Here is a 15,808-nt window from a genome sequence, read left to right as displayed (position 1 = left end):
ATTCAAAATGGTACAGCCAGTTTAGAGGGCAGTTTGGCCGTGTCTTATGAAACTAAACATACACTTGCCATACAATCCACCAATCGTGCTCCTTGGTATTTGCCCAAAGGAGTTGAAAAGGTATGTGCACACAAAAACCTGCACATGGATGTTTATAGCAGTTTTAACCATAATTGCCAAAACTTGAAAGCAACCAAAATGTCCTTCAGTAGGTGAATGGATAAATAAACTGTGGTATGGTGGACAATGGAATACTATACAGCACTGAAAAGAAGTGAGCTATAAAGCCTCATGAAAAAGCATGGAGGAACCTTAAATGCATCTTACTAAGTGAAAGTAGCCAATCTGAACAGGAAAAGGCTACATACCGTATGATTCCAACTATGTAACAATTTTTAAAAAGCAAAACTATAGAGACAGTAAAAAAGATTAGGGATTGCTAGTGGTTGGGGAGAGAGAGGGATAAATATGAGGAGCACAGAGGATTTTCATGGCAGTGAAACTATTCTGTATGCTACTATAATAAGGATACATATCATTATCCATTTGTCCAGACCCACAGAATGTACAACAAGAGTGAAACCTAACGTAAACCATGGAATTTGGGTGATAATGATGTGTCAATATAGATTCATTGACTGTAACCAACGCACCCCTCTGGTAGGGGATATTGAGAATGGGGGAGGCTATACGTGAATGGAGGCAGGGGGTATTTTGGAATACTGTAACTTCTGATCAATTTGACTGTGAATCTAAATATTCCCTAAAAGTAAGTTTATTTTTTAAAAACTCCTTGTTACTCAGTGTTAAAAAAAAGAGATAATATCTACTAAGTACATGATGCAAGGCCTGGAAAATAATAATAGCTGACATTATGAAATTCTTAATTTGTATTAAGCTGTAAAGTGCTTCAGGTACATTAACTTGTTTTATCTTTCAAGCTATACTATTAACTCCATCTAATAGATGAGGAAACTGAGGTACAGAGTGCTTTAGTAGCTCACGCAAGGAGACAAGGCTATTTGGTGTTAGAGCCAGGGTTTGAGCTCAGGCAGTCTCTCTCAGTGAGCAGACTGTACAGCCTCTCTCAAGTAGTAAACACTTAACAAAGGCAGCTATCAGTAGCCTCAGTGGGGCGTTTTAAAAAATGGGCATTCTAGGATCTCAGTTAGGGGAGATCCTAGTTACTTAATTATTAATTCTATATTTTTCTTGCATTGTCTTTTAAAAAATTATTGCTGAGTATCTTTTTACAATAACTGAATCCACTTTCTTAGAAACCTAAGGGAGGGCCAGGCACAGTGGCTCACGCCTGTAATCCCAGCACTTTGGGAGGCAGAGGCAGGCGGATCACCTGAGGTCAGAAGTTCAAGACTAGCCTGGCCAATATGGCAAACCCTGTCTCTACTAAAAATACAAAAATTAGCCGGGCATGGTGGTGCATGGCTGTAGTCCCAGCTACTTGGGAGGCTGAGGCAGGAGAATCACTTGAACCCAGGAGGAGGAGGGTGCAATGAGCTGAGATCGTGCCATTGCACTCCAGTCTGGGTGACAGAGAGATACTCCGTCTCAAAAAAAAAAAAAAAAAAAAAAAAAAAAAAAGAGAGAGAGAGAGAGAGAAAAAGGAAACCTAAGGAGAAAGAATAGGTGTTCAAATGTTAAATGAGTAAATGAATGATTGGATTGCCTGCATTCATTGCAGACCCTTAGGAAATGTTTGCTGAGCAAATGAGTATCAGGATTAGGAATGTTTAATAGGATCAGGGAAGCCTCCAATGAAACCTTGTTTAAAAATAGAAGGGACCAGTGTGGTGTTGGTTGTGTTGAGTATGGCAGAAGAGTTAAGTGCTGCTGTGTTATCGTTTCTGTATCAGAGCAGTGACTCTCCCAAGTTTTCCAGCCTTTTGGCAGGTAATATTTTGTGGCTAAAACAGAATACGCAGATCTTAATATTTCTATATTTAAGTGTCATAGGATATGAGCCCCTGGCATGATAAGAGGCAGTGTGTGTGGTGGTTTAGCATGTAGGAGCTCAAGCCCAACTGCCTGATGTTTGAATTCTGATTCCACTACTTTCCAGCCGTGTGGTCTTGGGCAATTGTCTTAACCTTCTGGTGCCTCGATTTCCCCATCTATAAAATGGAGATCAAAATAGGACCTCAGCCATTTGAATGACAGAATAATTGAATGAAATAATACATACAGAGGGTCCAGCAAAGAGGCAATAAATGTTAGTTGTGACAACAGAGTGCCAGTTGTGGGCCATGACAGGTGACCACTTGTGCTAATTTTAAAGTAGAATAACTCAAGAAAAGCACCAGACTTTTAGGTCCCTATGTAGCTAAATCATCTGGCCTGGAACTATAATGACAATTTCCTGAATTTGCTAATGACTTTCAAGCCAATTAAACACATCTCTATATGTCTCAAAGCATTTAATGAAAAAGTCCATCTAATTCTGTTGCATTCTGTATTTCATTTCGTAATTTTGACACAATAATCTGTTTTATGTCCTGGTCTGTTCTGGTCCATTTCATTTGATTTCATTCTGTTTGCATTCCTATAGTGTATTCCACACCATTTCATATTCCATCGCATTCCATTCTACACAATTCCACATCTCCCCGGCCACATCAGCCTGAGAGTAATAAACAGGTAGCAATTGACGCATTTCTTTTGCTCTATCCCCACCTACTTTCTGTGAATACATTCCCCTTAAATTCTTCCTGAATAACTCTGGGTGTCCTGGAAGATCTATGATCTAAACTAATAATCTGGTCTGTTTGGTGATCTGCAACCTATCTCACTCCTGTGCCAACTTGCTGTGGGGGCTCCTCTGGCTTGAGCCCATTATAACAGAGGCAGCTGGTTGGGATAGTGCAAGCACTAAAGTTTAGACGTTCTAAATGGAGCAACAAGACTCCTCCACTAATGCTACCTCTTGCAAATGGAAACAGTTATAGTTTCTTCTTCCTAGTTGCCTCCTTTTCTGGGTAGTAAGGTCTACAGTTGCATTCAGAAATTAGATCATTAAGAAAAATCTATACTGGTGCTCCTTGGAGGTCTGTTCAGGCAACTGACACAGTGACTATAGATTTCACTCACTTGATAACATCAGGACTGAGCAGAGGGTGGGCCTTGTAAGCAGCCAGGGTTTTCAGCACCAAAATGTTGGGGTGTAGGGGGGCTTAGTTGTATTGCTCAACAGTGACACCTGTTGACCCAGATAGAAACATTTTTTTTTTCAGGTGGGGTTGGGGAAGGCTTTAGAACTAAACAAATACAAACAGCAAGAATTCAAACTGACAACAGAGCAAATAACGTATATGAAAGCCATCTGCTCCCATCTGAGTTGGTTTCCTTGCTGCCAGAGTTGAGTTAACTTTAGCCAGGATACAATAAAATGTTAGCAGAATTGATGAGTTCAAGGCTTTGCAGGATATTTAATGAACATTTGGAGACAAGCAATGTACTCTGGTCAGTTGAGGGAAACTGAGGTCCACACATACATACATACATGCTCTGTATGAGCTATTATATAGTAGTGGAGCCTAGACCAGGAATCAATTTGTTGAATCAAAATCTAAAAGACTTTTTACTTCAGTAAAAAGAGTAATGATTCTTACTTAAGTCTCTTTTGCCTATGAAAATGAAATCATGTCTGTATGCCTGCTGCCTCTCTCCCTCCCTCCCTTCCTTTGGTTTTTCCTTCCTTCCTTCCTTTCTTCCTTCTACAAACACATACAAGATAGGTTTGTTGACACCATGAGTCAGGCACTGGACTGGACGTCGATGATGAGCATGACTTGGCCTAGACATGACGAGGTTCATCAAATTTCAGAAAGCCATTCCTGCCCATTATCTGGTATAATCACTGACACAGCTGAGCCCTATACTATAGGCTGTGACATCCCAGAAATGACAAAGATGGTATCTGGCTGAGGGAATGGTAGGTCAGTGAAACCTTCACTGAGGACAGGATTTTTGAATTAGGTCTTAAAATGACAGTAGAAGTTTCCCAGCAGAAGTAAAGAAACTCAATGGCATGGAGGGAAGTGATGGTTTGGAGAATGGTTAATAGCCTTGTGTGCAAAAACCTCTTGTTTATCAAGTAATTCTTTTGAAGATCGCATGGGGGCAGTAAAAAGAGCATAGGCTTTTGAAGAAGTCAGACCTAACCAAAATCCCACTCAGTAGCTATGTAGCTATGGCAAGTTAGTAGACTTCTATGGGCCTGTTTCTCCATCTATTGTGTAGAATTAATATCTACTTCCAAGGACTGATGTGAGGAAAGATGATTTAATGTAATAAGGACATTAATACTGAGCCTACAACATGAAAACTAGCGGAGAAATGGTGCTACCTCCAGATTCCATAGATCTGAGTCCTGTTCTTCAGTCTCCAAAGAGGCACATTGGCTTATCATCGAGTAAATGTCTGCAGGAAAGACCATGCCATGCAATTAGTAGGCTGCCTCAGGCTTGTGAACTTTCATGTAAATGTATTATGTGCACACACACATACACACACACACACACACACACACACACACACCATAAGGTGACCTGAAAGCAGAAAATCTTCCTGTGGAATATCACAGAACTAGATCTGCAAACAGGAGACCCTTTCATAAAAGTTTCCAGATAGCCCATTTGGTACTTTCTATAACACTGAGAATCAGACCAACATTTCCATCTCTCTTTTGGCCTCTCCTTGCCAATCATGGAAGCAAACCTTTTGCCACCTCCATTTTAAATTTAGATTTTGACATCATCTCCTGGCCTAAACGTGGGTCATGGTGGAGGGCCAAGTTCACATGGCTGTTTTCTCCAGCTTCAGCTTTCCTCTAATCTGTGCTCTCCTGACAGTTTCATTCATTCCTTACAGAGTGCTTACCACCTACCCTGCTTTTTTTTTTTTTTCAATTCATGGAAATGAATCAGATCTGTGATGGCGTCATTCAAAAGAGAAAGCTAATTAAAAAGGTCCCCTTTCCTTCCTCTTACAGACCTTGCCATCGTATCCCCTTTTGGAGACACAAGCCAGGAAGGAAGCTCTTCAGTGCAGCTGTGAATAGAGAAATGCTGGCTGAGGTTTTGGAGACACTGGGTGATCATTCCCAGTGAAATTTTTAGATCCCTGGGGACATGAGCTGCTTTGTCTTTTCCAAGGTCAGGATAAACAGAATAACTTCAGGCTTCTCTACCCAGAAAGAACATGTGGCATAAATATCAACTGCAGAATAAATATGATTAATCTGGTACATGGACGAAGATGTTTTCTAGGAGATGCTTATCCTGGGATGAGAGCTTTCATAAGCATTGATATTTACATGACTCTTACCGTGTGTCAGGAACTGTTCTAATTGTTTTACCTATGTCAATTCATTTGATAGTCACAACCACTGAAAGGAGTAAGTACTCTTATTACTTCCATTTTACAGATAGGGAAACTGAGGTATAGAGAAGTCAAGTGACTTGCCCGAGGTTATTAAACTACTTAATGTCAACACCAGGATTTGAACCCAGATCATTTGTTTCTGAAGTACATGCTCACAATCACTGCATTACTGATACACTGTTTTGTCTTTGCATACTTAAGTGGTCATAACTTAGTCTGAAACACTTTGTGAGAGCAGGAAGCAAACTGTCCCCTTATTAGGTGGACCAGTATAGTGATAATACAAAAGTGTATTGCATTTGAATTACTTGCTAATATCTTCTAATTGAGGCAATTTTGAACAGGAATATACATATCTAGCCTCTATTTTTCTAGCTAGAAGTTCTGAAATCCCTGGGCTTAATATTGTATGGCAACAATTGGCTGGAGTTGAGTTGCTGCCACTCTCTTTTAACTGAGCCATGCTCTCTCTAGTTTGCTACAGGCCCCACCACTCCCTATTGCCTCTCCAATACCAGGTCATTTGGCATCTTACTCAGCTCATTTCATGCACATGTGTTCCACAATTGGTAACATAACCCTAAAAGTATTTGAGTTTGTGGCTTCTGCTCTTGTGACAGAAGACTTTTCTCGAATTCCAAGGTCAACATATACCATATTGACTCTGGGCCACATTTTTTAATGTGCTCAAGCTCAGTTTTTCTCCTTAAAAAATGAGGGGTTAAAAATAACACTTCGTAGTTGCCTCATCTGTGGATTGGAAGAATGAATGCCTGTCATTTCTAGAGTTGTAGTAAGGGCCAGTTGGGGCAGTGCCTGTGAATATACGCAATGGGCCATCAAGCAATCTCAGGGCTTCAGGCAATGCTGGGGTTTATAAAGCACTTTATGTTTTAAGTTCACTTTTATTTCTAAAGTCTCATTGACTGCTCTGAAAATCTCTCAAGTAAAGTGGGCACTAAAGGCTTTATACTCTCTCCAATTATACCTTCCATTGTATAGATTTGGAAGCTGGGGTCCAAATGTGTTAAATGACTTGCCTAACATGGTCCATTACTGTAAGTACAGAAACGGAATGAGACCCCAAATCTGCTTCATGGAGGGACACTCTTCTAAGATACTGTGATGCTTCTTCCCAAGTAATTCCGTCTTCAGACTTCAAGGTCTCAATTCGAATGACAATTCAATATAGGACTTTCATAATCTTAAAAGCAACCTGACAGTCATTACAGTGGGCTGTGAGAAATACTAACGCAGAGCCACATACTCTGGGCTTCATGCTAGGTTTTGCCACTCACTATCTTTGTGACATTGGGCCAGTGACTCAACCCATTAAACCTCAGTTTCTTCACTTATACAATAGGGATAATGTCATCTGTTCAGACTACCTTACAAATTTGCTGTGAGACTCCATTGAGATGATGTCAGTGAAAGCATGATGTCACTATACATTAATATCAGAATGTGTATGTCTCTTAGCCTCCTGACTAAAGACTGAGCTTCAGGAGGGTATGTTGTAGACTGTCTTCTCTATTCCAGGTGCTTTTGTACTTCTCACATAAGGATGCGTGAAATGCCTAAACAATAAGACCTTAGCCATCAGGTGGTTCCAGCCAGGGAAGCAGGAGATGGAGCCATGAAATGATTCTTTTTTGGGGATTGCTGTCAAAAAATGAGGAATGATACTCGAGTTGAGGTCTGTTTGCTTTCTACCTGTGCAGGTATCAGCCTATGAGATTCCAAGACATTCTTGATCACTAGTCAGCAGTTCACACTGTCAAAATTCAAAAATTACTGTTAGGGTAAAGGAACGTTGGAGTTTAAGTCAGAAGATGTAGCTTTAAATTTTGATTCAGTTCTTTAGAAACTGTGTGTCCCTCTCTGGACCTCAACTGGGCTGTCATAATTAAAGGCGTTCTTAGACATAGCAAGAATTTATATTGGTTCTCTTCCTTCTTATAAGCTTTATTACAAACACGCAAATTTTCACTGGAAGCTTGTACTAGGTTTGTATTGTATTTGCCTTTTTCTTATTTTTTTCTCTCTCTTTCTTCCTGTTTTTAAATCCACTTGTGAGCCAAGTTGGCTCTTATTCATTTTATCCCGAGTTACCAAACACCCTACCCAAATTGAGAGCATTTCTTCTCCTCAGGCTGAAAATACTCAGTGAGTAAACCCAAGGTCTTTAATAGCAAGACAATCAGATCTGCTTAATGTAATTTGGTTTCTGCCTCGGAATTAATGTCGCAAGAAGTATTTGAATGAGGTTTGCTGTCTTTTTTTCTTACAGAATTGTAGACTGGATCTCACAAAAATTCTGGTCAAACTAACAAATGATTCACTGAAGAATGGGGGCAGAAAAAAAAAGCTGGCTGCTTGTTCCCTCTTTCTAGTTAATGAATCGAATTGATACAGGAACTTCATCGTGTTCTCAGGGAAATCCTGTTGGCTGGGGCTCACTCTTCAGCACCGCTAAATTTAGGTCACGGCTCAGTGAAGAACAATTACAGATTCTTAATAAAAGATAATTTACCCAGTGACATCCAACAGGACATCTGGGCAGGCGTTCTCATTTTCTTGTTAATGTTGTAGAGGTGGGGAGCGTGGAGTAGGGATGAATGTTGACAGAAAGTCATTTTCTGACCTGCTTTGTGGCATATGTCAGTCCATGCTCTTCCAGCAACTGAAAGCTGAACCTAATGGGACCCCCACAAAATGGTTTTCTAAATTGGGCCAGGACAAAAAAATGCTAAGAAGCTTAGTAGTGGGAAGGCAGAATTCATAAGTCCTGCATTTGAAACCTGGTTGCTCATGCCTTCTCTGGATTAATCTTTTTCTACCTTACCTTCTGCTCTCTACTAACTGCTCTCTCTACTCTTTAGCCATGCTGAATTATTTTATGGCTCTTCACAAACTGTGATTTATCTGTCCCACCTCCTGCCACCCTCCCTTTTTTTTTTTTTTTTTTTTTTTTTTTTTTTTAGACAGGGTCTTGCTCTTTTGCCCAGGTTGGAGTGCAGTGGTGCAATTTTGGCTCATTACAACCTATTCCTGCCAGGCTCAAGTCATTCTCTTACCTCAGCCTCCAGAGTACCTGGGTTCACAGGTGTCTGCCATCACCCCTGGCTAGTTTTTGTATTTTTTGTAGAGACAAGGTTTTACCATTTTGGCTAGGCTGGTCTCAAACTCTTGAATTCAAGCAATCTGCCTGCCTTGGCCTCCCAAAGTGTTGGGATTACAGGTGTGAGCCACCATGCCTGGATTCTCCACCTTTTTTGTCTTTGACCACCCTGTTCCTCTAGGTTGATATGCTTCCCCCTCCCTTTTGAATGACTTATTTTTGCTTTAAAACCTATTTCCATTGTCGTCTCTTCCAGGAAGCTTTCTGTGACCCTTGAAGGCAAAGTGTGAAGACTTTCTCTAACTCTTTGCTTGTTTTCTTCATTAGATTGAGCTCTGCCAAGTACAGACTGTGTCATAGTGTTCTCAGTGTCCCAGGAGTAACCTACTCCATTCAAATCAGTTTTCTTAAAGTCCTAATGGCCCCACTGTTGCCAAACACAACAGACATTTCACAGTCCTTATATATTTTCCCTTTTAATGGAATATTACACTGTTTACAAGTTCCTCCTTCTTGATGCCTTCTACTGTGGATTGAATTGTGCCCTCAAAAATACGTGAAGGGCCGGGCGCGGTGGCTCACGCCTGTTATCCCAGCACTTTGGGAGGCCAAGGCAGGTGGATCACAAGATCAGGAGTTCGAGACCAGCCTGATCAACATGGTAAAACCTCGCCTCTACTAAAAATACAAAAATTAGCCGGGTGTGGTGGCATGCACCTGTAATCCCAGCTACTCAGGAGGCTGAGGCAGGAGAATCGCTTGAACCCGGGAGGCGAAAGTTGCAGTGAGCTGAGATTGCACAACGACACTCCAGCCTGGGCGACAGAGTGAGATTCCATCTCAAAAAAAAAAAAAAAAAAAGAGGATTTGTTGTTGTTGTTTAGACTTTTTATTTTCATTTCAATAGTTTTGGGGGACCAGGTGGTGTTTGGTTACATGGAAAAGTTCTTTAGTGGTGATTCTGAGATTTTGGTGCACCCATCACCTGAGCAGTGTACACTGTACCCAATGTGTAGTCTTTTATCCCTCACCTCACTTCCACCCTTCCCCCTAAGTCTTCAAAGTCCATTATATCATTCTTACGCCTTTGCATCCTCACAGCTTAGCTCCCACTTATAAGTGAGAATATACGATGCTTGGTTTTCCATTCTTGAGTTATTTCACTTAGAATAATGGTCTCCAACTCCATTCAGGTTGCTGTGAATGCCGTTATTTCATTCCTTTTTATGGCTGTGTAGTATTCCATGGTATATATAGGAATGCCATATATATGGGATTGCTGGATCAAATAGTAGTTCTATTTGGAATCTCCATACTGTTTCCCATAGTGGTTGTACTAGTTCAAATTCCCTTCAGCCATGTAAAAGTGTTCCTTTTGCCTCACATCCATGCCATCATCTGTTATTTTTCAATTTTTTAATTATGGTTATTCTTGCAGGAGGAAGGTGGTATCTCATCGTGGTTTTAATTTGTATTTCCCTGATAATTAGGGATGTTAAGTATTTTTTTCATATGCTCATTGGCCATTTGTATATCTGCTTTTGAAAATTGTCTATTCACGTCCTTTGCCCACTTCTTGATGGGATTATTTGTTTTTTTTTCTTGCTGATTCCTATGAGTTCCTTGTAGATTCTGGATGTTAGTCCCTTGTCGGATGCATAGTTTGTGAATATTTTCTCCCACTCCGTGGGTTGTCTTTTTACTCTGCGGGTTGTCTTTTTACTCTGCTGTTTATTTATTCTGCTGTGCAGAAGGTTTTCAGTTTAATCAGGTCCCCTCTATTTATTTTTTGTTTTTGTTGCATTTGCTTTTGGGTTCTTGGTCATGTACTCTTTGCCTAAGCCAATGTCTAGAAGAGTTTTTCCAATGTTATTTTCTAGAATTTTTATAGTTTCAGGTCTTAGATTTAAGTATTTGATTCATCTTTAGTTGATTTGTGTATAAGGTGAGAGATGAGGATCCAGCTTCATTCTTCTACATGTGGCTTGCCAATTATCCCAGCACCATTTGTTGAATAGGGTGTCCTTTCCTCACTTTATGTTTTTGTTTGCTTTGTCAAAGATCAGTTGGCTGTAAGTATTTGGCTTTATTTCAGGGTTCTCTATTCTGTTCCATTGGTCTACCTGCTTATTTTTATACCAGTACCATGCTGTTCTGGTAATGATAGCCTTGTAGTATAGTTTGAAGTCGGGTAATGTGATGCCATCAGATTTGTTCTTTTCGCTTAGTCAGGCTTTGGCTACATGGGCTCTGTGTTGATTCCATATGAATTTTAGTATTTTTTGTTATAGTTCTGTGAAGAATGATGATGGTATTTTGATGGGAATTGTACTGAATTTATAGACTGTTTTTGGCAGCATGGTCATTTTCACAATTTTGATTCTACCCATCCATGAACATGGGATGTGTTTCCATCTGTTTGTGTCATGGATGATTTCTTTCAGCAACGTTTTGTAGTTTTCCTTGCAGAACTCTTTTGCCTCCTTGGTAAAGTATATTCCTAAGTATTTTATTTTATTTTTTTGCAGCTGTTATGAAATGCGTTGAGTACTCGATTTTATTCTCAGCTTGGTTGTTGGCATATAGCAGTGCTACTGATATGTGTACACTGATTTTGTATCCCGGAAATTTGCTGAATTCATTTAACAAATCTAGGAGCTTTGTGGATGAGTCTTTAGGGTTTGCTATGTATATGATCATATCATCAGTGAATAGCAGCAGTTTGACTTCCTCTTTACTGATTTGGATGCCCTTTATTTCTTTCTCTTGTCTGATTGCTCTAGCTAGGACTTCTAGTACTATGTTAAAAAGAAGTGGTGAAAGTGGGTATCCTTGTTTTGTTCCAGTTCTCAGGGGAATGTTTTCACCTTTTTCCTGTTCGGTATAATGTTGGCTGTGGGTTTGTCATAGATGGCTTTTATTACCTTAAGGCATGTCCCTTCTAAGCTGATTTTGCTGAGGCTTTTAATTATAAAGGGATGTTAAATTTTGTCAAATGCCTTTTTATGCATCTATTAAGATGAATTTTGTTTTTAATTCTGTTTATGATGTATCACATTTATTGACTTGCAAATGTTCAACCATCCCTGCATTCCTGGTATGAAACCCACTCGATCATGGTGTGTTAGCTTTTTGATATGCTGTTGGACTCAGTTAGCTAGCATTTTGTTGAGGATTTTTGCATCTATGTTCATCAGAGATATTGGTCTGTATTTTTCTATTTTTGTTATATCCTTTCCTGGTTTTGGTATTAGGATGATACTGGCCTTATAGAATAATTTAAGGAGTATTCCCTCTTTATCTTTTGGAATACTTTTAGTAAAATATGTGAGCATTCTTTATATTGGTATCCTACATGATTTCACTAAGAGGAGATCTGATTACATCATTTGTTTCCTGAAAATCTTCAATGACTATTCAATCTTTGGTTTAAGATGTAAACTTTCCATCTTAAGATCTGAATTGTGTCTAAGTTTCCATCTTCCTTCTCACCATTCCGCCATCTTACTTGTTCTTCAACTAGCTTTAAATGTTCATGAGTTTTCACTTACACTGTGTTCTTCCATGCTTACAAGTATTTTTTGTGTAATATTCCCAGCACCTGAATCCTCTTTCCTATGTTACCCACCTGCCTCACTTTTACATAGCTTTTGATATTTGACTCAGTTATGATATTCTCCAAGAAGCCATTTCTGATCTCCTCTCCTCTGCAAATTAAATAAAGAGCCCTTTCTTTATGCATCTGTAGGACTCCATGGCCACTTCTAACACTATACTTACTACACTGAGTGGATGTGTGTTCACATTAGACTCTGAGCACCCTGAAAGGAGAAATCGAGTCTTACTTATTACTACATAACCTGGGTCCCAGGCATATCAGTTAAAGGAAAGAATATATAAATGAATTAACTGAGTGCTATGGAAGTAGAGAGAAGATGATAACTGAAATGAAAATGACCTCACAAATCTGCATATATATGCTCAGAGACTATTTTGGTATATATACTATGCAGAGTTGTGCCCAGGCACATGGTTGGAAGAGGAGAGAGCCACATGTTTTTTGTGAACTAACTTGCATATTATAAAACTTTGATGGAAATTGAGGAGAGGACATAAAGGGAGGGGAAATTCTACCTAATTCCTAAATAATAGTCTTTCAAGAAATTGGAAAATACATCTAGATACCAGAGCTCAATTCTAGATTTGTTGCTTACTAGTTTTATAATCTTGGGCAAGTGCTTTGTCTTTTGAGACTGTCTCCCCACTTTCAACCTAAAGTGAATTCAAAATACTTTGCAGGATTATTTTGAAAATCAAATAAAATCAAGTATATGAATGAGAACACAGTGCTGGATCCATAGTGGTAAACGTCAACTTCCTTCTTCCTCTCAGGATAAAACAGACCAGAGAAAGAGAAAAATAAAATAGCAATTTTTAAACAAATTACCAACACAGCTCAGAGGGACAAAGGTGTTAAGAAAAACTTTAGGCAGAAACCCTTTGTAAAGTGGAGGCATTGCTACCATTTGGGGAAATTATTGGGAACAATAAAGAAACACCTTGGATACATTTTTTTTTTTAGTCTGAGATAGAGAGAAATTGGGGTTAAGTAAAATAGCAGTGATTGATCTTTGAATGCTTAAATAGTACCATTAAGTTTTCTAGTAGGATAGCTCTGATTCTGATTGACATCACTCAGCTCTAATGATGAAAATAGATGCCATATTTTAGTTGTAATTCTGCTTTTAAGGACTGTATATTTTGTCATTTAATTTTTCCTGAAGCTTTCCTTTTCATGTTATCTAAGCAATGTAGGTTTCCTCTCAGAAAAAAAAAAAAAAAGAAAAAAATGGCAACAATCTTACCCACCTAGAAACTACTATTGACATTTTTTAATCGATAAATAATAGTTGTACATATTATGGAGTACATGTGATATTTTGATACGTGTATATAATGTGTAGTGATCAAATCATGATAATTGGGATATCAAGCATCTCAAACATTTTATGTCTGTATTTTTAGATCCATTCAATAGAATATTAACATATTTTTCCATAATAAGCATAAACTGTATATGTCGCATTAAAGTGTGATTTTTTTTTTCACTTAAAACACCACGAACATTTTTACATCTTGGGAGAATGTCTGCTGCTAGCAGCATACTTTCTTATCACAAATGACTAGAAAATGGAATTAAATATTTGACAACAGTTTTCCAATACAGGACAGCAGACAGAGCATGAATGAGACCCCCAAAGAAGGGAAGCAAATGAGACAAGCCCCACAATTATTCTGGCTTTTTGCCTAGAGACAATCTATGAACTGTGGGGCAAACAACAGAGATCAAAACAGCTTGGCAATCTGAGTTGAGGATGAAGACACCATTGGGGCAGAAGCAGCGATAGCTCAAATTTGTGGAGCAAAGTACCGGAGAAGATAAACTGCTCCAAATTCCAAGAGGCTGGGCAAAGAAAAACTTTGTGGAAAGAAGAATTATCAGGGAACTCTAAGCTGAAAAATTGCCAGGGCTCACACAGACCTGGGGAATTGGTTGAGTTTATGCCACCTACAGGATAGAGAACTTGCTGAATGTTCAAGGATTTTGTTACAGATGCAAGATGACACTTAAAGGGATGCAAAACTAACATCTCTGGATTAGTCTTAATAAAGTTTAAAAATAAGCTTAGAAAAAGTCAAACGGATCCACAGTTCTTCTTGTGTGACTTTGGGCATGTTAATAAGCTTTCTGAGTCTCAGTTTCTTTATCTGCAAAATTGGAGTAATAGCTATATTTATCATCTGTGTTGCTTGGAGAATAAAGCTCCACAGTAGTACATGACATTCACTGGCCACAGATTCTCTACTAGAAGAGCTCTAACATCTGATGCATAATAAATACCCAACAAATGCTGGCATTATTATTAATAGTTATATGCTATTCTGTCCTCAGGAAAGAACTGTGACCAGTATCAAAGCTAACACAAAGCATATCCATATAGATACCAAAGAAAATTACATGCAATGCATGAAAAATAGCTACATGTGTAAAAGACTCTATTATTTAAAAATCAGATAATTTAGGACTTGCTGATATTCCTCAATGACATCTAAGGTGAACGAAAACACCTTTATGAGAACCCCCATCCATGGAATGCTACTCACTTACTGACTTTACTCAAATGAATTGAGAGGTCTCAAAGGCAGAGACTATGAGTTACTCATTTTTGTATCTCCTAGCAGAGCACAGCTCTGTTGCGGAGTGGACCCCTCACAATAATGTTTACATAGTTTAATTAAATTCAGAAAGTAGTCATTCATTTGCAGAAGAAATTAGCTGGTAATGAAGTACTATGCAGTGTTCCATTCTGCAGAGGAACTAGTAACCTGCTAAAACATTTCTGTTTAATATTTGATAAGCAAATTATTCCCTTACCAAAGGAAACTAGTGCTAAACTTTCCTCCACCACACTGAGCATTTAAGCCCTCAAGATACACTCCTGGGACAGATGGGTGATGGGCAAGCTGGAATACTATAATGTGCTCAGAATGAAAAGCCCCTACACTCAGAAATTGAAATAAGATCAGGAGCCAAGTGGAGAGAAAGGTTATTAGAACATGGTCTAGAGAAAAAGCTGGAGAATGATCCACGATTCCTTCCTGAGGGAAGAGAAAACTTGCCTTTAGTTAAACTCTGTGAGACCTTAACTCTTTCTTCCTCAACACCTTCCATTTAAGGCAAGGAAGTCCATTTCATTCCCAGTCTTTGCCAGGCTCTCAGAGCACAGAGGAGCTCATTCTGACCATTTAGTGACCACAGCTTGTGTTTTGAACTCAGATCATCTTGTGTGTGATTTTTGCTCTGCTTCAGACTAACTGGGAGATTTTGAACAAACCCTTCACTTGTTCTGAGCCCTGGTTTCCTTATAGGTAAGATAGAGATTGGTACCCATTTTGAGAATGGCTGAGAGGATTAAACCATAAAGTATTTTGCATTTTGTGAAAAGTGGTGCCCTTATTTCACGTTACTTGAAAGAAGAGTAAATAAAATACCATTTTGAAAGGCATGTGGAGAAAATATGTCATTATCTTGGTCTTCCTCTTTAGCTTTGCTCTGCACCAATGGTCAAAGTCTTTTCCTCCTTTCATGAATGGATGAGAAGACTGCACCATTTCACACCAACAGAGACAAGCTTTCCTTCTGGCTCTTTGCAACTAAGTGTGGGCTTGTCTTAGTGACTCATTTAACACAAGGCCACCTTTACAATCTTTCTGAGGTCAAACCAG

At 39.0% G+C, this 15,808-nt stretch overlaps 1 annotated feature.

Moving 5' to 3' along the window:
• Window positions 3,080-3,129: an enhancer, noted in NCBI's record as "active region_27931". NCBI's record gives its function as "activates an Ori minimal core promoter by ATAC-STARR-seq in GM12878 lymphoblastoid cells {active_cell/tissue: GM12878}" and the evidence as "EXISTENCE:reporter gene assay evidence [ECO:0000049][PMID:35858748]".

This window comes from Homo sapiens, chromosome 8 (assembly GCF_000001405.40).
Source record: "Homo sapiens chromosome 8, GRCh38.p14 Primary Assembly".
In the NCBI taxonomy this organism is placed as follows: domain Eukaryota; kingdom Metazoa; phylum Chordata; class Mammalia; order Primates; family Hominidae; genus Homo; species Homo sapiens.
This window is presented reverse-complemented; position numbering and strand designations above follow the sequence as displayed.